General features: G+C 42.5%; 1 protein-coding gene across 17 annotated transcripts in view, besides 1 other annotated feature; it reads left to right on the plus strand.

Annotated features, from left to right (window-relative positions):
• Positions 1-26183, plus strand: part of RBM6 (RNA binding motif protein 6) — a 137100-nt gene that overhangs the window by 69851 nt on the left and 41066 nt on the right. The window contains exon 1 of one of the 17 annotated variants that reach the window (XM_047447134.1): positions 23502-23545. The exons of the other annotated variants lie outside the window; for them this stretch is intronic. The gene's annotated coding sequence lies outside the window, so the exon portion shown is untranslated. Of the gene's footprint in view, positions 1-23501; positions 23546-26183 lie in introns of those variants that run through there. 17 annotated transcript variants of the gene reach the window in all.
• Positions 2825-3493: an enhancer, noted in NCBI's record as "NANOG hESC enhancer chr3:50050258-50050926 (GRCh37/hg19 assembly coordinates)". NCBI's record gives its function as "activates a minimal SCP1, AML or CMV promoter by ChIP-STARR-seq in naive H9 embryonic stem cells {active_cell/tissue: H9 hESC(naive)}" and the evidence as "EXISTENCE:reporter gene assay evidence [ECO:0000049][PMID:30033119]".

The raw sequence follows: 26183 nt of genomic DNA on the forward strand, positions 1-26183 counted from the left end.
GCCTCAGCCTCCCATGTAGCTGGAATTACAGGCACACCACCACACCTGGCTAATTTTTGTATTTTTAGTAGAGACAGGGTTTCACCATGTTGGCCAGGCTGCTCTCGAACTCCTGACCTCAGGCAATCCACCCGTCTCGGCCTCCCAAAGTGCTGGGATTACAGGCGTGAGTGATGGCACCCAGCCAGAATAATTAGTTTTAATCTCACAGGGTGAGATTTGTGAGGTTAATTTTGTATATTAATGATGTATATATTACCAAAATCTGTGGTCAAGTGAAATTTGTGCTTAATCTTTGCAAATGCTATTTCCAAAGGAAAATATGTAGGAGAAAAGGTGGTGTATCACAGGATGTAGAGTAGTGGTTACTGGGCACAAGGGTGGCCGGGGAGTCGGGGGGTGGCAGGAGAGGATAGAGAATGATAACTGATTGATACAGGGTCTCTTTTTTGGGATGAGGAAAATATTTTAGAATTAAATAGTGAGGATGGTTGACCAAGCTTGTGCATGTACTAAAAGCCATTAAATTGTATATACTTTAAAACAGTGGATTTTATGGTATGTGAATTTTATCTCAATTTTAAAAAAAGTCTTTAAATGTAGTATGAAACTTTTTTTAAGGCCAGGCAGGGTGGCTCACACCTGTAATCCCAGCACTTTGGGAGGCTGAGGCGGGCAGATCACCTGAGGTCAGGAGTTCTAGACTAGCCTGGCCAACATGATGAAACCCTGTCTCTACCAAAAATACGAAAATTAGCCCAGCATGGTGGTGTGTTCCTGTAGTCCCAGCTACTCGGGAGGCTGAGGCAGGAGAATTGCTTGAACTCAGGAGGCAGAGGTTGCAGTGAGCTGAGATTGTACCACTGCACTCCAGCCTGGGCGACAGAGCAAGACTGTCTCAAAAAAAAAAAAAAAAAAAAAAAAGTTTTTTTAGGGTTCCAGCACAATGGGAATGAGTCCAGATCTAAAATAAAGTACAGATTCATTTACCACCCTCCACCCTACCCCAACCCCCCAAAAAGATTGTCTATCAGTTTGTCAGGAAGTTAGAGTAAAATGGTCTTAAAATGCATCAAGAGGGCTGGGCACAGTGGCTGATGCCTGTAGTTTCAGCTACTCAGGAGGCTGAGATAGGAGGATCACTTGAGCCCAGGAATTCGAGTGAGCCATGATTAGATCACTGCACTCTAGCCTGAATGACAGAGCAATACCTTGTCTCTTAAAAAAAAAAAGGCATGAAGAATTTTTTTGCTAATGGTATCTACTTACCACAGAGGAACATTTAAGCTAAACATCTGAAAGATTATGGATGGAGTTGGTAACAGGCTCCATTTGAACTGGTTATGTAGTTTATGCTCAGTAAGGTTGAACGGACTTTCTGCTTTGAGTTATTCACAGTTAAAAATAAAGGACTATTTTGAAGTAGACCGAAAATGAAAATAACATTAAGAAATCCTTGGACTAATTTTTAGGGGAGATTCCTGTAATCGGATGGTTTGTAGTTGTCAATGTAGACCTTTCCTGGTTTCCTGAAATTGCTAATCAAAGCTCAAAGCCATGGGAAAAGACTGGATTGCAGCTAGAATGTGTGCTCTCCACATATGTCTTTCTTAGAGGCCTCTTTCAAGCAGCATTGACACTATGGCTATCATCTTTGACCCTCTTAGTATACAGAGAGTTGTAGGTTTTCTTTTTTTAAGGGGGAAAACATTATTGACATAAATTATATATCATAAAAGTCACTCATTTTAACTGTACAATTCAATGATTTTTTAGTAAATTTACCAAGTTGTAACATTTATTATTATAATTAGTTTTACAACATTTTTCTTTTCTTTCTTTTTTTTTTTTTCTTTTTCTTTTTTTCTGGGACACAGGATCTTGCTCTGTTGCCCAAGCTGAGTGCAGTGGCATGACCATGGCTCACTGCAGCCTCCACCTCCCGGGCTCAAGCAATTCTCCCACCTCAACCTCCTGAGTAGCTGGAACTATAAGTTGGAACCATCGTGCCCAGCTAATTTTTTATTTTTTGTAGAGAGAAGGTCTTGCTATATTGTCCAGGTTGGTCTTGAACTTCTAAACTCAAGCAATCCTTCCTGCCTCACCTTCCCAAAGTGCTGGGATTACAGGTGTGAACCATCATGCCTGGTCTAGAACATTTTCATTACCTCAATCGGATCCCCGTTTGGGGATACATTTACATTTTTAATTTTTTAATTTTTATTTTTTTTAGAGACGAGGTCTCAATCTATTGCCAAGGTGGTCTTGAACTCCTGGTTTCAAGTGATCCTCCCACCTTGGTTTCCCGAAGTGCTGGGATTACAGGCATGAACCACCATGCCCAGTCCATTCCAATTTTTTTTTTCTTTTTTTTTGAGATAGAGCCTCACTCTGTCGCCCAGGCTGGAGTGCAGTGGCGTGATCTCAGCTCACTGCAACCTCCACCTCCCGGGTTCACGCCATTCTCCTGCCTCAGCCTCCCGAGTAGCTGGGACTACAGGTGCCTGCCACCACGCCCGGCTAAGTTTTTGTATTTGTAGTAGAGACGGGGTTTCACCGTGTTAGCCAGGATGGTCTCAATCTCCTGACCCTGTGATCCGCCCGTCTCAGCCTCCCAAAGTGCTGAGATTACAGGCGTGAGCCACCGTGCCTGGCCCATTCCAATTTTTTACAAAAGTGATTTCAGACTTATAAAAAAGCTGCAAAAATTCCTGTGTTCTTTTCACCTAGATTCTACCTTTTTTTTTTTTTTTTTTTTTGAGGCGGAGTTTTGCTCTTGTTTCCCAGGCTGGAGTGCAATGGCGCAATCTCGGCTCACCACAACCTCCCCGTCCCGGGTTCAAGCAATTCTCCTGCCTCAGCCTCCCAAGTAATTGGGATTACAGCCATGCGCCACCACGCCTGGCTAATTTTATATTTTTTAGTGGAGACCAGGTTCCTCCATGTTGGTCAGGCTGGTATTGAACTCCCGACCTCAGGTGATCTGACCACCTGGGCCTCCTAAAGTGCTGGGATTACAGGCGTGAGCCACCGTGCCAGGCCCACCCAGATTCTTCTTAGCACATTTGAATGCAGATTTTTGAATAGTTATGATCTATTCTCATTGAAAAAGGGACATCATTTGACTTGACCTCCCACCAGACTCTTCCTTTGAGGTTGGATGGAGGTGCTTAATGGATGCTGTGGATGGTGTGTGAATTTCCATTGGGTTGAGTGGATGATGTATGTGGAAGGCGATTGGGATTTACTTTGTCGGTGTCTCCAAGAGGTCCCCCACTGGGCTTTGTCAGGTGCTGGGGTTGGAGGTCAAGAAGTAGGGCAACATCTAAAGCTTCTACTCCTGGGCACTGTGAGGTTTTTATAGGTCTTTTAAAAAAAACAGTGAATAGGCCGAACGCGGTGGCTCACACCTGTAATCCCAGCACTTTCAGAGGCCGAGGGAGGCGGATCACGAGGTCAAGAGATCAAGACCATCCTGGCCTCGTGGTGAAACCCCATCTCTACTAAAAATACAAAAATTAGCTGGGCATGGTGGCACATGTCTGTAGTCCCAGCTACTCGGGAGGCTGGAGCAGGATAATCGCTTGAACCCTGGAGGTGGAGGTTGCAGTGAGCCCAGATTTCACCACTGCACTCCAGCCTGGCGACAGCGAGGCTCTGTCTCAAAAATATGTTCTTCCATGAGACAGCGGGCATTTGGATGCCTGATACAAAAAGAGGAGGGACTATGTGCTAGTCAGCTTTAGACTGAGAAGCAGCAGCAACCATGGCAAAGGGGAAGCAAACTTTCCTGAGTGGCCTTAATAATGTTATTCGTCAGGCAGTGGCTCTTAAACAGGGGCTTCAAGCAGTGATTTTTGACATGCTCTTCTCCTCCCCAACCACTGGACATTTGGCAATGTCTGGAGACATTTTTGGTTGTCACCACTGGGAGAGGGTGCTACTGGTATCTAGTGAATAGAGCCAGGGATGCTGCTAAACATCCTACAGTGCAAAGGGCAGCTCTCCACACAAAGAATCATCTGGCCCAAAAATCTCTATTGCTGAGGTTGAAAAATACTGGTGTAAGGAGACAAGAGTTGTGGTTAGTCAGAAAGGATGACCTGGCTTGCCGTGGATTGTCTTATAATAATCAGTTATCTCTTTCCTTGCCTTATTCCTGGTCCCAACAGAGTGAGGATTGGCAAGGGGGTTTGGGAATATAGTGGGAATGCTGTGTAGTGAGAGTGCAGGCACGGCACTCCAGACTACCAGTCACGAGCTTAGCCTGTGTCCTTGGGGTAGGAGCTGTAGAATAAGACCTATTTTGATATGTGGACCAGAATAAGTTCTTTAAATAATCAAAGGTAATAAACATTCTTAAAATATACTATCACTAAGGTAGTCTGTCATCCAGCAGAATGAGGGAGTAGTCAGAAGATTACACATATTTGGCAGCAATTACTAGAAAAAACAAACAAGTTGAGAGTTTTCAAAATAGATGTTACTTCATATTTCAGATAGTTTTCCAGGGAATATTGAAAATGCAAGTGCAGATTTTCACATCCTTCTTTATACTGATTAAAACATTTGAATCTATTGGATCATCTTTTCATTAGGCTTTACTTCACAGGGCCATCTACTGGATCCTGTATGCTGATATAGTTAAGGGGACTGACCTCAAAGTAAAAGATGCATATATTTTATCTTAATACAATATCACTTTGCTGTGAAGGGGAGCTGCTGTGTATATAGAATGCTGTGTAATAGTGATTGGGCTGTTGGGAATCACATTGGAAATATCAGTAAGCAACTCATTTTAACTTTTGTTAACACAGTTAAGTGCTGAGCACCTCTTGTGTTTGAAGCTCTGTGCTAGGTAATATGTGTTCATTAATGAATGAAAAAACAATACAAAAATTAGCCAGGCATGGTGGCGTACACCTGCAGTCCCAGCTACTCAGGAGGCTGAGGCACAAGAATTGCTTGAACCCAGAAGGTGGAGGTTGCGGTGAGCCGAGATCACGCCACTGTACTCCAGCCTGGCCAACAGAGTGAGACTGTCTCAAAAAAAAAAAAAAAAAAAAAAAAAGTTTTTTATTTTTAAATTTTTTGTTTTATTTCTTTTTTACTTTTTTTTCTTTTGAGACAGAGTCACGCTCTGTCACCCAAGCTGGAGTGCAGTAGCACCATCTTGGCTCACTGCAACCCCCCGCCTGCCAGGTTCAAGTGGTTGTCCTGCTTCAGCCTCCCAAGTAGCTGGGACTACAGGTACCCACCACCACGCCCGGCTAATTTTTGTATTTTTAGCAGAGGCGGGGTTTCACCATATTGGCCAGGCTGGTCTCAAACTCCTGACCTTATGGTCTGCCCGCCTCAGCCTCCCAAAGTGCTGGGATTACAAGCATGAGCCACTGTGCCTGGCAAAATTTTTATTTTATTATTATTATTATTTTTTTTTTTTTTTTTGAGATGGAGCCTCGCTCTGTTGCCCAGGCTGGAGTGCAGTGGCGCGATCTCGGATCACTGCAAGCTCCGCCTCCTGGGTTCATGCCATTCTCCTGCCTCAGCCTCCTGAGTAGCTGGGACTACAGGCGCGTGCCACCACGCCCGGCTAATTTTTTGAATTTTTTTAGTAGAGGCGGGGTTTCACCATGTTAGCCAGGATGGTCTCCATCTCCTGACCTCGTGATCCACCTGCCTCAGCCTCCCAAAGTGCTGGGATTACAGGCGTGAGCCACCGCTCCCGGCCAATTTTTATTTTATTTTTAATTGATAATTGTACATGTTTATGGAGTACCCATGTTATGATACATGTGCACATTGTAGAATAATTTTTAATTGATAATTGTATACGTTTATGGAGTACCCACGTTATGATACATGTGTACATTGTAGAATGATTGAATCAGACTAGTTAACATATCCATCACCTCATGTAGTTATTTCTTTGTAGTGAGAACATTTAAAATCTCTTTTAGCAATTTTGAAATAGATACAATACATTGTTATTAACTATAGTCACCATGCTGTGCAATAGATAACTAAAACTTCTTCCTCCTGTCTGACTGAAACTTTATACTCTTTGACTAACATTCTCCCGTTCTCCTCCACCCGCCTTCTCCACCCACGGCCTCTGGTAAACCACCATTCTGCTCTCTACTTCTGTCTGAATATTTGATTTTTTTAGATTGCACATGTGAGATCATGCAGTATTTGTCTTTCTGTACCTAGTTTATAATACACTTAGCTAAGTGTCCTTCATGTTTTTCCACATGTCGCAAATGGCAGAATTTCCTTCTTTTTTAAGGCCAAATAGTATTTCATTGTGCTTACATACCACATTTTCATTATCCATTCATTCATTGATGGGCAATGGATGAATGGATATCATGGCTATTGTGAATAGTACTGCAGTGAACATGGGAATGCAGGTATCTCTCAGACATAATGATTTCAGTTTCATTGGATATATACTGTACCCAAAAGTGGGACTGCTAGATCATATGGTGATTCTCGTTTTAGTTTTTTTTTTTTTAAGAACCTCCATACAGTTTCCAAAATATCTGTACTAATTTACATTCCCACAGTGTAAAGGGTTCCCTTTTCTCCATATCCTCACTAACACTTGTTACCGTTCATCTTTTTTATAGTAACCATGCTAACAAGTATGAGGTGACATCTCATTATGGTTTTGTTTGTTTGTTTGAGACAGTGTCTTGCTGCATCACACAGGCTGGAGTTCAGTGGCGTGATCCCAGCTCATTTGCAGCCTTAACTTCCTGCACTCAAGCAGTCCTCCCACCTCAGCCTCCCAGGTAGCTGGTGTGTCACCATGCCTAGCGTTTTTTTTTTTTTTTTTTTGAGACAGAGTCTCGCTGTGTTGCCCAGGCTGGAGTGCAGTGGTATGACCTCGGCTTACTGCAATCTCTGCCTCCCGGGTTCAAGTAATTCTCATGCCTCAGCCTCCTGAGTAGTTGAGATTACAGGCATGTGCCACCACACCCAGTTAACTTTTGTATTTTTAGTAGAGATGAGGTTTCATTATGTTGTCCGGGCTGGTCTTGAACTCCTAGGCTCAAGTGATCCTCCCACCTTGGTTTCTGAAAGTGCTGGGATTACCAGCATGAACCACTATGCCCAGCTCCTTATGGTTTTAATTTGTAATTCTCTGATAATTATTGATGTTGAACATTTTGTCATATATTTTTTGGCAATTTTTTTTCTTCTTTTAAAAATTTTGTTTTTAGCCATAAGGCCAGGAATGCACGTATGTCTTCTTTCAAGAAATGTCTGGGCTGGGCACAGTGGCTCACGCCTGTAATCCCAACACTTTGGGAGGCCGAGGCGGGTGGATCACGAGGTCAGGAGATCGAGACCATCCTGGCTAACATGGTGAAACCCCGTTTCTACTAAAAATACAAAAAAATTAGCTGGGTGTGGTGGTGGGCGCCTGAAGTCCCAGCTATGTGGGAGGCTGAGGCAGGAGAATGGCGTGAACCCAGGAGGTGGAGCGTGCAGTGAGCCAAGATCGCGCCACTGCACTCCAGCCTGGGCGACAGAGCAAGACTCTGTCTCAAAAAAAAAAAAAAGAAAAAGAAAAAAAAATGTCTATTCAGGTCCTTTGCCCATTTTTTAATAGGGTTATTTGTTTTCATTATTGAGTAGTTTGAGTTCTTTGTACATTTTGGATATTAGCCCTTTATCAGATGGAAGATTTGTAAGTATTTTCTCTCAATCTGTGCATTGTTTCTTCACTTTGTTAATTGTTTCCTTGCTTTGCAGAAGCTTTTTAGTTTGACGCAATTCCATTTGTCTGTTTTTGCTTTTGTTGCCTGGCCTTTGGGGGTCATGCACAAGAAATCATTGCCTAGACCAGTGTTGTGGAGCTTTCCAACTATAGTTTCTTCTAGTAGTTTTACAATTTCTGTTCTTACATGAAGCTATGAACAGTTCCTGTATAGTTATCCCTGCCACCCTTCTCCCAACATTACATACACAGCCTCCCCAACTATCAGCATCCTGCAGTGTAGTGTATATGTTACAATCAGTGAAGCAACATTGATACATCATTATCAAGGGTTCACTCTGGGTGTTGTACCTTCTATGGGTTTCCACAAATGTATGTCATATATCCACCATTATAGTATCATACAGAATAGTTTCATTGCCCTAGAAACCCTCTTTTCTCCACCTGTTTGTTCTTTCCTCTTGCAAACCCCTGCAACCACTGAACTTTTTATTGTCCGTGTAGTTTTGCCTTTTGCAGAATTTTATATAGTTGGAATTGGACAATATGTAGCCTTTTCAGATTGGCTTCTTTCATTTAGTAGTACATTTCTCTATGTAGTCTCATTCCTCTATGTCTTTTTGTGGTTTGATAGCTCATTTCTTTTTAGCACTGAATAATATCCCATTGTATGGATATATCACAGTTTATTCATTCACCTACTAAATGACATTTTGGTTGCTTCCATGTTTTGACAGTTACGAATAAAGCTGCAATAAATATCCATATGCATGTTTTTGTACGGACATACGTTTTCAACTAGTTTGGGTAAATACAAGGGGCATGATTACTGGATCGTATGGTAGGAGTGTGTTTTTTTTTTTTTTTTTTTTTTTTTTTTTTGACACGGAGCCTTGCTCTGTCACCAGCTGGAGTGCAGTGGTGCGATCTCGGTTCATTGCAACCTCTGCCTCCCAGGTTCAAGTGATTCTTCTGCCTCAGCCTCCCAAGTAGCTGGGACTACAGGTGCATGACCATGCCCAGCTAATTTTTTGTATTTTTAGTAGAGACAGGGTTTCAACATGTTGGCCAGGATGGTCTTGATCTTGTGACCTCGTGATTCGTCCACCTCGGCCTCCCAAAGTGTTGGGATTACAGGCGTAAGCCACTGCACCCAGCCTGTAGAGTATGTTTAATTTTGTAAGAAACTGTCAAACAGTTTTTCCAAAGTAGCGATTACAATTTGCATTGCTACCAGCAATGAATTAGAGTTCTGTTGCTCTGTATCCTTGCCAGCATTTGGATGGTAGCCATTTTTATTTTTATTTATTTATTTTTTTTTTTTGAGACAAGGTCTTGCTCTTTCACCCAGGCTGGAGTACAGTTGGACGATCTCAGCTCACTGCAGCCTCCGCCTCCCAGGTTCAAGTTATTCTCCTGCCTCAGCGTTCTGCATAGCTGGGATTACAGGCACGCACCACCACACCCAGCTAATTTTTGTATTTTTAGTTTCACCATGTTGGCTAAGATGGTCTTGAACTCCTGACCTTAGGTGATCTGCCCCGCCTTGGCCTCCTGAATTGCTGGGATTACAGGCATGAGCCACCATGCCTGGCCTCCTTTGGGTATTTCTATTGGACAGTCATGTCATTCATGAATAAAGACAATTTTATTTCTTCCTTTCTAATCCATATACCTTTTATGTCCTTTTCTTGGCTTATTGCACTAGCTAGGATTTCTAGTACAATGCTGAAAGGAGCTGTCTTTCTCTTCTTTTCTCTCCTTTCCTTGCCTTTTCCTTTTCTTCTTTTTCTTTCTTTTCTTCCTATAGAGATAGGGTCTCGCTATGTTGCCAAAACTGGTCTCCAGCTCTTGGGCCCAGGTGATCCTCCCACCTCAGCCTCCCAAAGTGCTGGGATTACAGGTGTGAGCCACCACACCTAGCTGAAAAGGAGCTGTTGAGAATACATCCTTGTCTTGTTCCTGATGTTAGTGGGAAGAAAGCATCTAGTCTCTCACCATAAGTGTGATGTTAGCTATAGGTTTATCAAGTTGAGGAGGTTCCCCTCTGTTCCTAGTTTGCTGAGAGGTTTTTTTTTTTAAATCATGAAAGGGGATTGGATTTTTGTCAAATGATTTTTCTGCATCTATTGGTATGTTCATGTTAATTTCTTCTTCAGCATGTCGATGTGATGGATTACATTAATTGATTTTTTTTTTTTTTTTTAGATGCAGGGTCTCACTCTGTTGCCCAGGCTAGAGTGCAGTGGCACAATCACAGCTCACTATAACCTCAAGTTCCTCAGCTCAAGCAACTTTCCCATCTCAGCTTTCCAAGTAGCTAGGACTACAGGCACATACCACCATACCCATCTAGTTTTTTAAAACATTATTTGTAAAGATGAAGTCTCTCTATTTTGTCCAGGCTGGTCTGGAACTCCTGGGCGGGCTCAAGCAGTCTTCACCTTGGCCTCCCAATTTGTTTGGATTACAGGTGTGAGCCACTATGCCCAGCCTCATTTTTGTTATTAGTAATTTGTATCTTCTTTCTTTTTTTCTTAGACTGGTTAAATGTTTATCAATTTTATTGATCTTTTCAAAGAACCAACTTTTGGTTTCACTGATTTATCTCTATTGATTTACTGTTTTCAATTTCATTGACTTCAGCTCTAATTTTTATTATTTTCTTCTGCTTACTTTTGATTTAATTTGCTCTTTTACTGGTTTCCTAAAGTGGAAGCTCAGATTATTGATTTTTAGATTTTTCTTCTCTTTTAATATATGCATTCAGTGCTATAAATTTCCCTCTCAGCACTGCTTTTTGTGTATCGCACAAATTTTGATAAGTTGTGTTTTTCATTATCGTTTACAGTTGTGTGTTAATCCCCATACAGTTAATGATGGGGATAAATTCTGAGAAATGCACTCTTAGGCAATTTTGTCTTTGTGCAAATACCATGGAGTGTACATACACAAACCTAAATGGTATAGCCTGCTACCCACCTAGGCTATATCATTTAGCCTATTGCTCCTTAACTGCAAACCTGTACAACTTGTTACCATATTGTATATGATAGGCAGTTGTGACACAGTAGTATCTAAAGATAGAAACGGTACAGTGAAAATACAGTATTTCAGTATTTTGGGACCACCATCATATATGCAAGCCCATTGTTGACTGAGATGTCATTATACAGCATCTGACCATAATTCGGAATATTTTTAAATTCCTCTTGAGATTTCTTCTTTAGCTTGTGTGTTATTTAGAAGTATGTTTTTAAATCTCCATATACTTTGGGATTTTTACAACTATATTACTGTTACTGACTTCTAGTTTAATTCTATTGTGATCTGAGAGCATATATTATTTTTTCTGTCATTTTAAACTGGAAAAGGTATGTTTTATGGCCCATAATGTGCTGCGTGAGCTTGAAGAGAATATGTAGTTCGCTGTTGCTGGATGAAATAGTCTACAAATGTTGATTAGATTGCTGCTGTTATTTTGATGCGTATCCTTCCAGATTTTTCTATGCATGTATCATCTATCTGTGTATCTATCTGTAGGATAGGAGAGTCTTGTACAAATGGTTTTATAACTCTTTAACTTCAAATATTGTGGACTTACTTCCTTGTCATTAAATACATTTAAGGCTGGGTGCAGTGGCTCATACCTGTAATCCTAGCACTTTGGGAGGCCGAAACAGGCAGATCACCTGAGGTCAGGAGTTTGAGACCAGCCTAGCCAACATGTTGAAACCCCGTCTCTACTAAAAATACAAAAATTAGCTGGGTGTGGTGGCACACGCCTGTAATCCCAGCTGCTCAAGAGGCTGAGGCACGAAAATCGGTTGAACCCAAGGAGGCGGAGGTTGCGGTGAACCAAGATTGCGCCAGTGCACTCCAGCCTGGGTGACAGAGCAAAACTTTGTCTCTAAATAAATAAATAAACAAATAAAATACATACCTATGTACATACATACATTTTAAGAATCATTTTGATATATTCATCTCCATACTGAGGAATTTAAGTGCTTTTTTTTTTTTTTTTTTTTTTTTTTTTTTGAGACAGAGTCTCACTTTGTTGCCCAGGCTGGAGTGTGGCGGCACGATCTTGGCTCACTGCAACCTCTCTACCTCCTGGGTTCAGGAAATTCTCCTGCCTAGCCGGGTGAGATTTCCTCTTTAGCTTGTGTGTTATTTAGAAGCATGTTTTTGTACCTATCGTAGCTTCTCTAGAGAAGGGAGGTAGGAGAATCGCTTGAGCCCGGGAGGTCAAGGCTGCAGTGACTGACCCATGACCATGCCACTGCACTGTAGCCTGGGTGACAGAGTGAGCCCCTGTCTCAAAAAGGAAAAAAAAGAAATCAGCATATTTTATGACTTAATAAATGTATTCAAATTCCATCCAGATATTTCCTAATTTATTATTTTACTAACAGTGTTTGAGAGCACTTGTCTCCCCTGCCTTCCAACCAGTGTCAAGTGTATTTTAACAAAATACTTGTATTGGGTAGTAGTACATGGTTGGTTGTTACTCTCTAATCGCCTGTTGTGTTTGAAATATTTAATAATTTTTTTAATGTTGCTAGTGTAGTGAAGAAGATAATGATTTAGTTTTTCTTCTTTCTTTTTTTTTTTTGAGATGGAGTTTCACCCTTGTTGCCCAGGCTAGAGTGCAATGGTGCGATCTCAGCTCACCAAAACCTCTGCCTCCCGGGTTCAAGTGATTCTCCTGCCTCAGCTTCCCGAGTAGCTGGGATTATAGGCTCATGTCACCACGCCTGGCTAATTTTGTATTTTTAGTAGAGACAGGGTTTCTCCATGTTGGTCAGGCTGGTCGCGAACTCCCGATCTTAGGTGATCTGCCTACTTTGGCCTCCCAAAGTGCTGGGATTACAGGCGTGAGCCACCGCACCTGACAAATGATGTAGTTTTTCTCCCTTAGGTTATTAGTAGGCAGAATAGTTTTACATTTGATTATTAGTTATTCATATTTCTTTTGTGACTTGTTGGTTCTTAATATATCTATTCAGCCAAAAATGAAAAATAGGATATCTTAGCCTGTCTAGTCTTAAGGTAAATATATGTGGGATATAAGGGAGTTTGGGGGCTGGGCGCAGTGACTCACACCTGTAATCCCAGCACGTTGGGAAGCTGAGGTGGGCTGATCACTTGAGCCCAGGAGTTCAAGACCAGCCTGGGCAATGTAGCAAAACCCCATCTCTACCAAAAGTACAAAAATTAGCCAGGTACAGTGGCACATACCTGTATTCCCAGCTACTAGGGAGGCTGAGATGGAAGGATAGCTTGAGCCCAAGAGGTTGAGGCTGCAGTGAGCTATAAGCATGCCCCACTACATTCCAGCCTGGGTGACAGAGCGAGACCCTGTCTCAAAAAAAAGATTTTTTTGAAAAGTTGAAAATGAGTATATTCGCTGAATACGAGATGAGTTTTCCCAAGAATTTATCCCTCAGAATCTTTCACGTTCTTCCTCCTCCTTCTCCTCCTCCTGCTTTCTTCTTCTTCTTTCTTCTTTTTCTGTTTCTTCTTCTTGCTTTTATAAAGTCTTAGCTCCTGTGGAGTTTTCTCTCAGTTACTTCTTATTTATTTATTTGAGACAGAGTTTCACTCTTGTTGCCCAGGCTGGAGTACAGTGGCGCGATCTCGGCTGACTGCAACCTCCGCCTCCTGGGTTCAAGCTATTCTCCTGTTTCAGCATCCCAAGTAGCTGGGATTACAGGTGCCTGCCACCACACCTGACTAATTTCTGTTACTTCTTTTGAGCCACAAAGTATTTGAAAAAGATGCATTAAGTAGTGACCGCAGTCCGTGCTAGTATTGGGTGCTTACAGAGGTCTAGTAGAATACCGTGTTTTAAAAGGAGGTGAATTTAATAATTGCTGTGATTACTCTGGCATTATACGCTCACAAATAAAATGTTTGGTGATTTTTTTTTTTTTTTTTTTTGGAGACAGATTCTTGCTCTGTCACCCAGGCTGTGCAATGATGTGATCTCAGCTTACTGCAACCTCCGAGTTCAAGTGATTCTCGTGCCTCAGCCTCTCGAGTAGCTGGGATTACAGGCACCCGCCATCATGCCTGGCTAATTTTTGTATTTTTGTAGAGATGGGGTTTCACCATGTTGGCCAGGCTGGTCTTGAACTCCTGACTTCAGGTGATCCACCCATCTCAGCCTCCCAAAGTGCTGGGATTACAGGTGTGAGCCACTGCTCCCAGCCGGGTGTGATATTTTTAATAAAACAAGTATTCAAATTCACTTACAGGACCAATGAAAGAATCGTTTGTCGTAATTTTATGCCAAAGGGTACTTGTGGCTTAAGATAAACTTCCCATAATGACATTATCCACAGATTCAAAAAGTAGTTTATCTTAAACAACTTCTGTGACATTTTAAAATGATGTGGCTTAGAAAATTGCTAGGTTATCTAAAATGGCTCTATTGATGATGTAAATGTAGCACATGAAGAGCTTGAATAAAATAGACTTTTGAAGTGTGCAAATGGAAAGAACAGTCCTTCTAAATAATTATTTCCCCTCCCTTTTATTGACGTATACATACAGAAAAGATATCATGTCGTAAGTGTATTGCTTAGTGAATTACTCCAAAGTTGGATATACCTGGTTAACCACCACCTGAATGAAAAAAACAGAACACTGCTTCATATGGAGAAGCCCCTCCTGCCCCTCCTGGTCATTGTCCTTTTCATCCCTCCCACAGGTAGTCACTGAGTTCTAATACCACAGAGTCTTTTGACTTTCTTTTGAGCCTTATGTAATTAGAATCACAAAAGATGTATTCTTTTGCCTGACTTTTATACTTAGTATTGTTTTTGAAATTCATCTTGTGTGTAACTGCGATTTGTTCATTTTCATTGCTTAGTGAATTATTCCAAAGTTGGATATACCTGGTTAACCACCACCCGAATGAAAAAAACAGTTTTTGGCCGGGCACGATGGCTCACGCCTGTTATCCCAGCACTTTGGGAGGCTGAAGCGTGCAGATTACGAGGTCAGGAGATCAAGACCATCCTGGCTAACACGGTGAAACCCCGTCTCTACTAAAAATACAAAAAATTAGCTGGGCGTGGTGACGGGCCCCTGTAGTCCCAGCTACTCAGGAGGCTGAGGCAGGACACCTGTAATCCCAGCTACTTGAGATGCTGAAACAGGAGAGTGGCGTGAACTTGGGAGATGGAGCTTGCAGTGAGCCGAGATTGCGCCACTGCACTCCAGCCTGGGCGACAGAGCAAGACTCCGTCTCAAAAAACAAAAAACAAAAAACAAGAAAACAGTTTTCCAGTCTAAGAATGTATTACAATTTATTCAAATTCCACTCTAGATGGACTGTGGGTTTTTTTTTTTCCCCCATTTGGAGCTATGGCAAATGATGTTTTTTCAAAGTTGTTATTTCTCAGCCAGGCGCGGTGGCTCACGCCTGTAATCCCAGTACTTTGGGAGACTGAGGTGGGCAGATCACCTGAGGTCAGAAGCAAGACCAGCCTGGCTAACATGGCGAAACCCCGTCTTTTCTAAAAATACAAAAATTAGCCAGGTGTGGTGATGGGCACCTGTAATCCCAGCTACACAGGAGGCTGAGGCAGGATAATCACTTGAACCCAGGAGGTAGAGGTTGCAGTGAGCTGAGATCACACCACTGCACTCCAGCCTGGGTGACAGAGCGAGACTCTATCTCAAAAAAGAAAACAAAACACCACGGAATTGTTATTTCTCTTGGCGAATAGGTAGATGCACTTATTCCTGTTAATATATACCTACCTGTGAATGTGCTTGTTGGATTTTCTATGTATCTTCTGTCTGCCACCTAGAAATTTAACCTTTTATATATATACAACTTTAATTTTTTTTTTTTTTTTTTTAAGAGACAGGGTGTCACTATGTTGCCCAGGCTGGTTGGGAACTCCTGGCCTTAAGCCGTCCTCCTGCTTCAGTCTCCCAAAGTGTTGGGAATATAGGCGTGAGCCACTGTGCCCCACTGTTCAAGTTTTCATTGATTGCTGCCTACATATAGTTGTTCAACAGCTATTGATTCCCCCTGCTCTGTATATATGTCTCCTAGTGTAGGTATCAGGGTTACAGCAGTAATTAAGACCACATTATTTCATTTTATCATTTAAATATATAAGACTAATTGATAAATTAAGTATAGAACTTTGACCAACATGGTGAAACCCCATCTCTACTAGAAATACAAAAATTAGCTGGGTGTGGTGGCAGACGCCTGTAATCCCAGCTACTCAGGAGGCCGAGGCAGAACTGCTTGGAGATGGAGGTTGCAGTGAACCAATATCAGACCACTATACTCCAGCTTGGATGACAGAGGGAGACTTTGTCTCTTTTTTTTTTTCTTTTTTTTTGAGACGGAATCTCGCCGTCTTCCAGGCTGGAGTGCAGTGGCACGATCTCGGCTCACTGCAGCCTCCGCCTCCCGGGTTCAAGCGATTCTTCTACCTCAGCCTTCCGAGTAGCTGGGATTACAGGCACCCACCACCATGCCCGGCTAATTTTTGTATTTTTAGTAGACAGGGTTTCACCATGTTGGCCAGGCTGGTCTCAAACCCCTGACCTCAAGGGATCAACCTGCTTTGGTCTCCCAAAGTGCTAGGATTATAGGCGTGAGCCACTGTGCCCGGCCCTTTTTTTTTTTTTTGGAGACAGAATTTCGCCCAGTTGCCAGACTGGAGTGCAGTGGCACGATCTCAGCTCACTGCAACCTCTGCTTCATGGGTTCAAGCCATTTTCCTGCCTCAGCCTCCCAAATAGCTGGGACTACAGGCATGCACCACCACGTCTGGCTAATTTTTTGTATTTTTAGTAAAGCCAGAGTCCCAAAGTGCTGGGACTAGGCAGGCGTGAACCACCACGCCTGGCCAAGACTCTGTCTCTCAAAAAAAAAAAAAAGAAAAAAAAATATAGGACTTTGGGAGGCCGAGGCAGGCAGATCACCTGAGGTCAAAAGTTTGAGACCAGCCTGACTAACATGGTGAATCCCCATATCTACCAAAAAATACAAAAATTAGGCAGGTGTGGTGGCGTGCACCTGTAGTCCCAGCTATTGGGGAAGCCGAGGTGGGAGATTGTACCTGGGAGGCAGTGAGCAGAGATCGCACCACTGCACTCCAGCCTGGGTGACAGAGTGAGACCTTGTCTCACCAAAAAAAAAAAAAAAAAAAAAATAGCATAGGTAGGCATTTGATGATTTGATGATTTCATTCGCATCCCTAAAAGTTTATTTGTTCCTGGGTCGTCAGATAGCTTTTTGGCCATCTTCCTGTTGAGAAAATTGATGTACCCTTCTGGAGTCCTCCAATTTTCCATTATAATATGGTAAGTGGGAGCTAGAGCTTTGGGTAAGAATTGGGATGTGATAAGGAGGATGAGTTTTGCAGTGGTGTGCATGGTTAGGAGGAGAAAAAGCTGGAGGCAGAGTGTTCACTTAGAGGCTTGGGGTAGGAGGGGTAGGTTTAAGTGGTGCTCATCTGGGCCAGAATAGGGCAAAAAGGGAAGAATGAAATAACCAGATGTCTTTGCTTTGTCAGTAGTCTTGCAGCCCTGAAAGCTTTTTTTGTTGTGTTATATTTGTTGTAATTGAGGTATAATCCACATAACATAAAACTTACCTCTTTCAAGTGTACAATTTAGTAGTTTTTAGTATATTCATAAAATTGTGCAACTATCACCACTGATACCAGAACATTTCTGGGAACAAAAAGAAACTATATATCCATTAAGAGTCACTCTCCATTTTCTCCTACTTCCTTCTCTACCCCCAGTCATCTGCTAGTCGGCTTTCTGTCTCTATAGATTTGCCTGCTCTGGATATTTCATATAAATGGAATCATATACCATATGGTCTTTTGTGACTGGCTTCTTTTACTTAGCCTAATGTTTTTAAGGTTCATCCATGTTATATGAATCAGTACTTAAATCATTTATAGGGTTGAATAATATTCCATCATATGGATATACCACATTGTCTTTATCTGCTCATTAATTGGTAGACATTTAGGTTGTTTCCACTTTTGTTTATTATGAATAATACTATTCACATTCATGTACAAGGTTTTGTGTGGACACATTTTCAGTTCTCTTCGATATATACCAAAGAGCCACAATGCTAAAACTTCCAGCTTTTTACCAGCTATCCCCAGATGCGTAGCCTAGTAAGCCCCATGTTGGAGTGGTGTAGTGTTGAAAACATGGCATACTCATACATTAGATAACCAGGTTTCAATTCTGGTTTGGAAGCCTTTGGATATTTGCATTACCCATTTGAATTCTCTCTTGGGCTGTGTTTGGTTTGGGGTTTTGTACTTGTTTTTTTTTTTTTAACTAGATGTTTTGAGGCACTTGGTACTGTGGACATGTGTCAGTCTTAAATATTTGGGTTTTGAGCATATCAAGGGCTTGGTTTGCAGTTGACAGTTGAATAGCAGTCTTCTTCCTTCCATTCCTTACAGATTCTCCTGTTCAGAGTCAACCATTGAATAGCATATTTATTGTTTCTGCCTGTGTGTCTGTTAGTGCTCATATGGTCTAGTTCCTGAGTTAAGAAGTATAGGGTAGTGGTCATCTTTTTTCTTTGACTTGATTCCTGCGTACTGTGAATGCAGAGCAATGCAGGATATGTTGGGTTTTCTACAAACAGAGCATCAGCCCAGAGACATGTTTGCATTTGTTTCTGTCAGGTTTCCTGGCTCAACTGGCACCCTTTAAGGCCAGAGAACGTTAGTTTAGGCACTTTTCCTAGTAAAATACTTCTTGTGGCTCTTCCTGTGTACTTGGAATAAAGGAGGCATTCCATTGTTAGACATGCTTGGGTAGTTCAGGGTAATCTTAGAGTCATGAGAGATATGATATAAAGGAATAACTAGCTAAACCAGAAAAAATGCCTGGGTAATGACTAGCAAATAGGTGGTCAACAGATGTCCTCATTAGATTGAAAGGTCCATGAAAGCAGGGACTATTTCTTTTCTTTACTGCTTAAAAAGGTTAGAACTGGACCTGGCAACATATGATGAGCTAAATAAATACATATTTGTGAATTGGGTTAACACATATTGCATAAAGTGGTTTTGGCTCTGTTTTATTCTTCATAAGCCCTAGTGATCTTTTTAATTTCTGTAAAATGTGGTCTTGACCCCCCCAACCCAAGTGACCTCCTTATTTGCTAGGCTCTGATATTTCTGTTAGGTTTCTACTGTATTTTCTGAGATAGCAATTAGTAGATACTATTTCTCCTTTGATGGAGCTAGCCATATATTCTTGTTTGTTCATTTTAGCTTTCAAATTTCTGTCTGATTCTTGTTCTTTTACTCTGGAATGTAGTGAATGGAATGACTTGGAAGGTACAAGGTAGGTCAGTTTAGGTTGTCTAGGGCCTTGCATTTAAAAGTTTAATTTGATGACATGGTGGATTACAAGAATGTAACAGTATCAAAATGATACTATCTTCTTGTGGTGGTATGTAGACTTAAAAAGAGAAACTGCAGAGAAAAGGGTCCCTTAGGATGTAGAGCAGCAGTTGATATGTGAGAAGTTGATGCCTTGCATTAGGGATTAGGAGTAGATGTGGAAGGAAGAGATCAGGTTTGAAAGAGTTTAAACAAAGAATCTCTAGGATTTGATAACACTGGATATCAGAGGGGAAGGTACAAGAGAGAGGGCAGAATCAAAGGCCACTCAGAGGTTAAAGGAATCATACCGGTTTGGCATGGTGGCTCACGCCTGTCATCCCAGCACTTTGGGAGGCTGAGGCGGGCAGATCACGAGGTCAGGAGTTCGAGACCAGCCTAGCCAATATGGCGAAACCCCGTCTCTACTAAAAATACAAAAATTAGCTGGGCGTGGTGGCGTGTACCTGTAGGCCCAGCTACTCAGGAGACTGAGGCAGAAGAATCACTTGAACCCAGGAGGCAGAGGTTGCAGTGAGCCGAGATCGTGCCACTGCACTCCAGCCAGGGCGACAGAGCGAGACTCTGTCTCAAAAAATAATAATAATAATAAATAAATAAAGGAGTAATTCCAACACTTGGGAGGCCGAGGCAGGAGGATTGCTTGAGCCCAGGAGTTCAAGACCAGCCTGGGCAACATAGTAAAACCTCATCGCTATAAAAATTTTTTAAAAAGAAATTTAGCCAGGCATGGTGGTGTGCCCCTGTAGTTCCCATTACTAGAGAGGTTGAGGTGGAAGGATCTCTTGAACCCAAGAGGTCGAGAGTACAGTGAGCCATGATGCACCAGGGCACTCCAGCATGGGCAACAGAGTGAGACTTTGGGAGGCCATGGCAGAAGGATTGCTTGAGCCCAGGAGTTCGAGACCAGCCTGGGCAATGTAGTGGGACCTTGTCTCTATAAAAATTTTACAAATATATATAAAAGCTGGGCATGGGGGCACGTGCCTGTAGTCCCAGTGACTGGTGGGTGGGGCGGGGGTGAGGTGGGAGAATCACTTGGGCCCAGGAAGTCGAGATTGCAGTGAGCCATGATCATGCCACTGCTCTCTAGCCTGGGTGACAGAGTGAGACTCTTTTTGTCTTAAAAAAAAAAAAAAAAAAAAAAAAAAATGGTTGTACCTTGAACAGATACAAAGCATGTAGAAGAGGAAAGCATTTGGGAGGGAGAATAATTGGTTGGATACATTAAGTGTCAAGTGACAGTAGGACCTCTAGAAATACACAAACAGAGCTCCACAGGTTTTTTCATTGTCATTTCTTATACCTTTTGTTCCACTACCTACTTTTTTCCTACAACTTTCTGTTTATTTTATAGTTTATGAATTTTAAGCAAAATACTTCCTTCTGCCTCTTACCAGTAATTTTCAAAAGCGTCTGTATTGGTTAGGATTAGATTTGGCTGGGAATGACAGAAAACTAAAAATAAAAGCAGTTTAAACAAGTTTATTTCTCTCTAATGCAAATGAAGTTTGAGCTGTCCAGGCTTTCTTATGGTGGTTTGGTCATGATCAGGGACCCAGGTTCTTTCAACCATGTAGCCCCATCTTAACATGTGATTTCTATCTTATTGTTCAAGATGGCTATTTGAGTGTCAGTTATCAGTTTTATTTAGCAACCAATGGGAAGGAAGGGGGATGAAAATGGGCCCTGTCTTTAAGGATACTTCCTGGACATAGTGAGTAGAAGGATGGTTACCAGAGTATGGGAAGGGTAGTTAGGGGGCTGGGGGGAAGGTGGGAATGGTAAAGGGGTATAAAAAAGGTAGAATGAGTAAGACCATCAGAGAAATGCAAATCAAAACCACAATGATATAGGTGGCTCACGCCTATATGTATCTCACACCAGTTAGAATAGTGATCAGTAAAAAGCCAGGAAACAACAGGTGCTGGAGAGGATGTGGAGAAACAGGAACACTTTTACACTGTTGGTGGGACTGTAAACTAGTTCAGCCATTGTGGAAGACAGTGTGGCGATTCCTCAAGGATCTAGAACTAGAAATACCATTTGACCCAGCCATCCCATTACTGGGTATATACCCAAAGGATTATAAATCATGCTGCTATAAAGACACATGCACATGTATGTTTATTGCGGCACTATTCACAATAGCAAAGACTTGGAACCAATCCAAATGTCCATCAATGATAGACTGGATTAAGAAAATGTGGCACATATACACCATGGAATACTATGCAGCAATAAAAAAGGATGAGTTCATGTCCTTTGTAGGGACATGGATGAAGCTGTAAACCATCATTCTGAGCAAACTATCTAAGGGCAGAAAACCGGACACCACATGTTCTCACTTATACGTGGGAATTGAACAATGAGAACACTTGGACACAGAGCGGGGAACATCACACACTGGGGCCTGTCGTGGGGTGGGGGAGGGGGGAGTGATAGCATTAGGAGATATACTTAATGTAAATGACGAGTTAATGGGTGCAGCACACCAACATGGCACATGTATACATGTGTAACAAACCTGCACATTGTGCACCATGTACCCTAGAACTTAAAGTATAAAAAAAAAGACCTACTATTTGATACCACAATAGGGTGAGTATAGTCAATAATGACTTAATTGTACATTTTAAAATAACATAAAAAGAAAAAAATAAAATAATGCAGAGTATAATTTGATTGGTTGTAACTCAAAAGATAAATGCATGAGGGGATGGATACTCTATTCCCCATGATATGCTTATTTCACATTGCATGCCTGTATCAAAACATCTCCTGTACTCCATAAATAAATACACCTACTATGTATCCACAAAAATTTCTTAAAAAAGGATACTTTTGAGCGTTTCAAGCATTACTTCTAGTTATGTTCAGTTGATCAGAATTTAGTCATAGCCACACTTCAGCTTCAAGGAGGGCTGCAGAACGTCTTTATTTTAGGCAGCTATGTGCCCAGTTAAAAAGCAGATTTTCTCCCAAGGTAAAGAGAGCAGATAGGCATTAGGAGACTACTAGTAGTCTTTTAATTTTCCAGGCCGGGCACGGTGGCTCACACCTGTAATCCCAGCACTTTGGGAGGTCGAGGCAGGCGGATCATGAGATCAAGAGATGGAGACCATCCTGGCCAACATGGTGAAACCCCATCTCTACTAAAAAAAATACAAAAATTAGCTGGGCGTGGTGGTGCGTGCCTGTAGTCCAAGCTACTCAGGAGGCTGAGGCAGGAGAATTGGTTGAACCCAGGAGGTGGAGGTTGCAGTGAGCGAAGGTCGTGCCATTGCGCTCCAGCCTGGCAACAGGGCGAGACTCCATCTCAAAAAAAAAAAAAAAAAAGCAGGGATTTGCTCCCAAGGTAAGAGAGCAAATAGACATTGGGAGACTATTAGTAGTCTCTTAATTTCCCAGAATGAGAACCAGATTCTTTCCGGTTACAGAACTCGTTTCTCCAAACATTAATTATTCTTATAATAATTTTAAAAAATACTAAATATATAATTATCACCAGCCAAATGCTTCTTTTAAGAAATAGAGACAGGGGGCCGGGCACGGTGGCTCACGCCTATAATCCCAGCACTTTGGGAGGCCGAGGCAGGTGGATCACCTAAGGTCAGAGTTCGAGACTAGCCTGGCCAACATGGGGAAACCCTGTCTCTACTAAAAATACAAAATTAGCCGGGCATGGTGGTGCATGCCTGTAATTCCAGCTATTCGGGAGGCTGAGGCAGGAGAACCGCTTGAAACAAGGAGGCAGAGGTTGCAGTGAGCCGAGATCGTGCCATTGCACTCCAACCTGGGCAACAAGAGCAAAACTCCATCTCAAAAAAAAAAGAAAAAGAAATAGAGAAGAGACAGGGAAGCCAAGCTCATGCCTGTAATCACAGCACTTCGGGAGGCCAAGGTGGGCAGATCACCTGAGGTCAGGAGTTTGAGACCAGCCTGGCCAACATGGAGAAACCCAGTCTCTACTAAAAATACAAAAATTAGCTGGGCATGGTGGTGCATACCGGTAATCCCAGCTACTCAGGAGGCTCAGACAGGAGAAGTGCTTGAACCCGGGAGGCAGAGGTTGCAGTGAGCCAAGACTGTGCCACTGCACTCCAGCCTGGGTGACAGAGTGAGACTCTGTCTCGAAAAGAAAAAAAAGAAAAAGAGACGGGGCCTCACATATGTACAGTGGTATGATCCGTAGTTCACTATAATCTTGAGCTCCTGAAACCTGATGCTTTAAAACAAAACAGTACAAAACTACTAAATTTATAATTAAATATATAAATAAAATATAATAAAAATGTTCACTTCTGTTTTTATATTCTTTAAAATGACCCATAGGCTGGTGATTAGTAACTAAAGCATATGCTGTGGAACATCCAGCACTGATGTAAGTATATGAAGTTTGAATGCCAGGTCAGTAGATTCAGAAGCTAAGTTACTGTATGGTAAAGACCATGTTTTGCCTGAGCAGCTTTGGATATGGTTTTTTCTTTTTTTTCTTTTTTTGAGATGGAGTCTCGCTCTGTCACCAGGTGGAGTGCAGTGGCGTAATCTCAGCTCACTGCAAGCTCTGCCTCCCAGGTTCAAGTAATTCTGCCTCAGCCTCCCGAGTAGCTGGGGCTACAGGTGCATACCACCACGCCCAGCTAATTTTTGTATTTTTAGTAGAGATGGGGTTTTACCATGTAGGCCAGGATGGTCTCAATCTCCCGACCTCGTGATCCCCCTGCCTTGGCCTCCCAAAGTGGTAGGATTACAGGACTGAGCCACAGCACTTGGCCGGATATAGTTTTTCTATGTGTGTTTTTCCTAAACCTTATTATACATAAACATACAAGGACAGAGATCAAATGCCCCCTGTCTAGAAACACCATTTCTGCCAGGCCCATCTTAATAAGACTATGTCTTCTTTTTATTTGTTTCTATACTTCCTTTTTTTTTTTTTTTTTTCTGAGACAGGGTTTCACTCTTGTTGCCACCACACTCAGCTAATTTTTGTGTTTTTAGTAGAGACAAGGTTTCATCATGTTAGCCAGGCTGGTCTGGAACTCCTGACCTGAAGTGATCCCCCCACCTCGGCATCCCGAAGTGCTGGGATTACAAGCGTGAGCCATCACGCTCAGCCTAGACTTCTTAGTGTGGTGTTTCATTTTCTTTTCTCTGGTTCCCATCCAGCTTTGTTCATTGTACATGCTCACGGTGCACTTTATATGACCTGTTGGCATATTTTCTCACTCTCTTTTTGTCTCTCTTCACTTCCAGCAGTGTTAAATAACTCTTTCCATTCTGCAGTTTTCCTGATAAGAATTTCAGATGGTGGTGGCCAGGTGCGGTGGCTCACGCCTGTAATCCCAGCACTTTGGGAGGCCAAGGCGGCAGATCACTTGAGGTCAGGAGTTTGAGACCAGCCTGGCCAACATGGCGAAACCCCATCTCTACTAAAAATACAAAAGCTAGCCGGGTGTAGTAGCGCATGCTTGTAATCCCAGCTACTAGGGAGGCTGAGTCAGGAGAATTGCTTGAACCCGGGAGGCGGAAGTTGCAGTGAGCCGAGATCACAACACTGCACTCCAGCCTGGGCGACAGAGCGAGACTCCGTCTCCAAAAAAAAAGGCAATGAATAATTGGACAAGGAACCAAAACTTTTATTCTGAAAAGAGAAAATTCCAGTCTATAGCAAGGGCAGTTTTCCTTCTAAGGAACAGTACTGATATATCATGGCTAAAGAAGCAGGCTCAGCTTCTTTGTCCCTTTCACTAATTTGCTATGGCTTCTAACATAGGCTAGGAAAAGAAAAAAATCTGTTTCTCTTTCTCCTCTCCTCTCCTCTCCTCTTCCCTCTCCTCTCCTCTCCTCTCATCTTCCCTCCCCTCCCCTCCCCTCTCCTCCCCTACTCCCCTCTCCTCCCCTCCCCTCTCTTTATCTGTCTATCTGCTAAGGGCAGCAAATCTGTATCCATACAGGTCTGCAGCAACTTCAATTCTTGCCTCCTCAGAAGAAACAATTTGACTGAGGGTCATAAGGCAGAAGGAGAGACCAAGGCAAGTTTTACAACAGGAGAGAGTTTATTTAAAAGCTTTAGAACAGGAATGAAAGGAAGGAAAGTACACTTGGAAGAGGGCCAAGCAGGTGACCTGAAAGACAAGTGCACCAACACATAGCCTTTCAACAGGATAGAGAGCAGTTAAAACTGCCCTGGAAAAGCCAGACTTACAGGCTACTCTGTATAATAGAAACTTCAGGACAGGGTGCGGTGGCTCACACCTGTAATCTCAGCACTTTGGGAGGCCGAGGTGGGCGGATCACGAGGTCAGAAGATCGAGACCATCCTGGCTAATACGGTGAAACCCCGTCTCTACTAAAAATACAAAAAATTAGCCGGGCATGGTGGCGGGTGCCTGTAGTCCCAGCTACTTGGGAGGCTGAGGCAGGAGAATGGTGTGAACCTGGGAAGCGGAGCTTGCAGTGAGCTGAGATCATGCCATTGCACTCCAGCCTGGTCGACAGAGCCAGACTCCGTCTCAAAAAAAAATAAATAAAAAAGAAACTTCAGCATGCTTCCTAATACTGTTCAAAGGTCTCCCTTTTTATGATTTTATTTAAAAAAATTTTTTTTTTTTGAGACAGAGTCTCACTCTGTTGCCCAGGCTGGAACGCAGTGGCGTGATTTCGGCTCACTGCAACCTCCCCTCCCAGGTTCAAGCAATTCTCGTGCCTCAGCCTCCTGAGTAGCTGGGATTACAGGTGCCCACCACCATGTCTGGCTAATTTTTTTGTATTTTTAATAGAGACAGGGTTTCACCATCTTGGCCAGGCTAGTCTTGAACTCCACACCTTGTGATCCACCCACCTTGGCCTCCCAAAGTGCTGGGATTACAGACGTGAGCCACTGCGCCCAGCTCAATTTTTATATTTTTGGTACAGACCAGGTTTCACTATATTGGCCAGGCTGTTCTCAAACTCCTGACCTCAGTTGATTCGCCCACCTCAGCTCCCAAAGTGCTGGGATTACAGGCATGAGCCAC

This window comes from Homo sapiens, chromosome 3 (assembly GCF_000001405.40).
Source record: "Homo sapiens chromosome 3, GRCh38.p14 Primary Assembly".
Taxonomy (NCBI): Eukaryota; Metazoa; Chordata; class Mammalia; order Primates; family Hominidae; genus Homo; species Homo sapiens.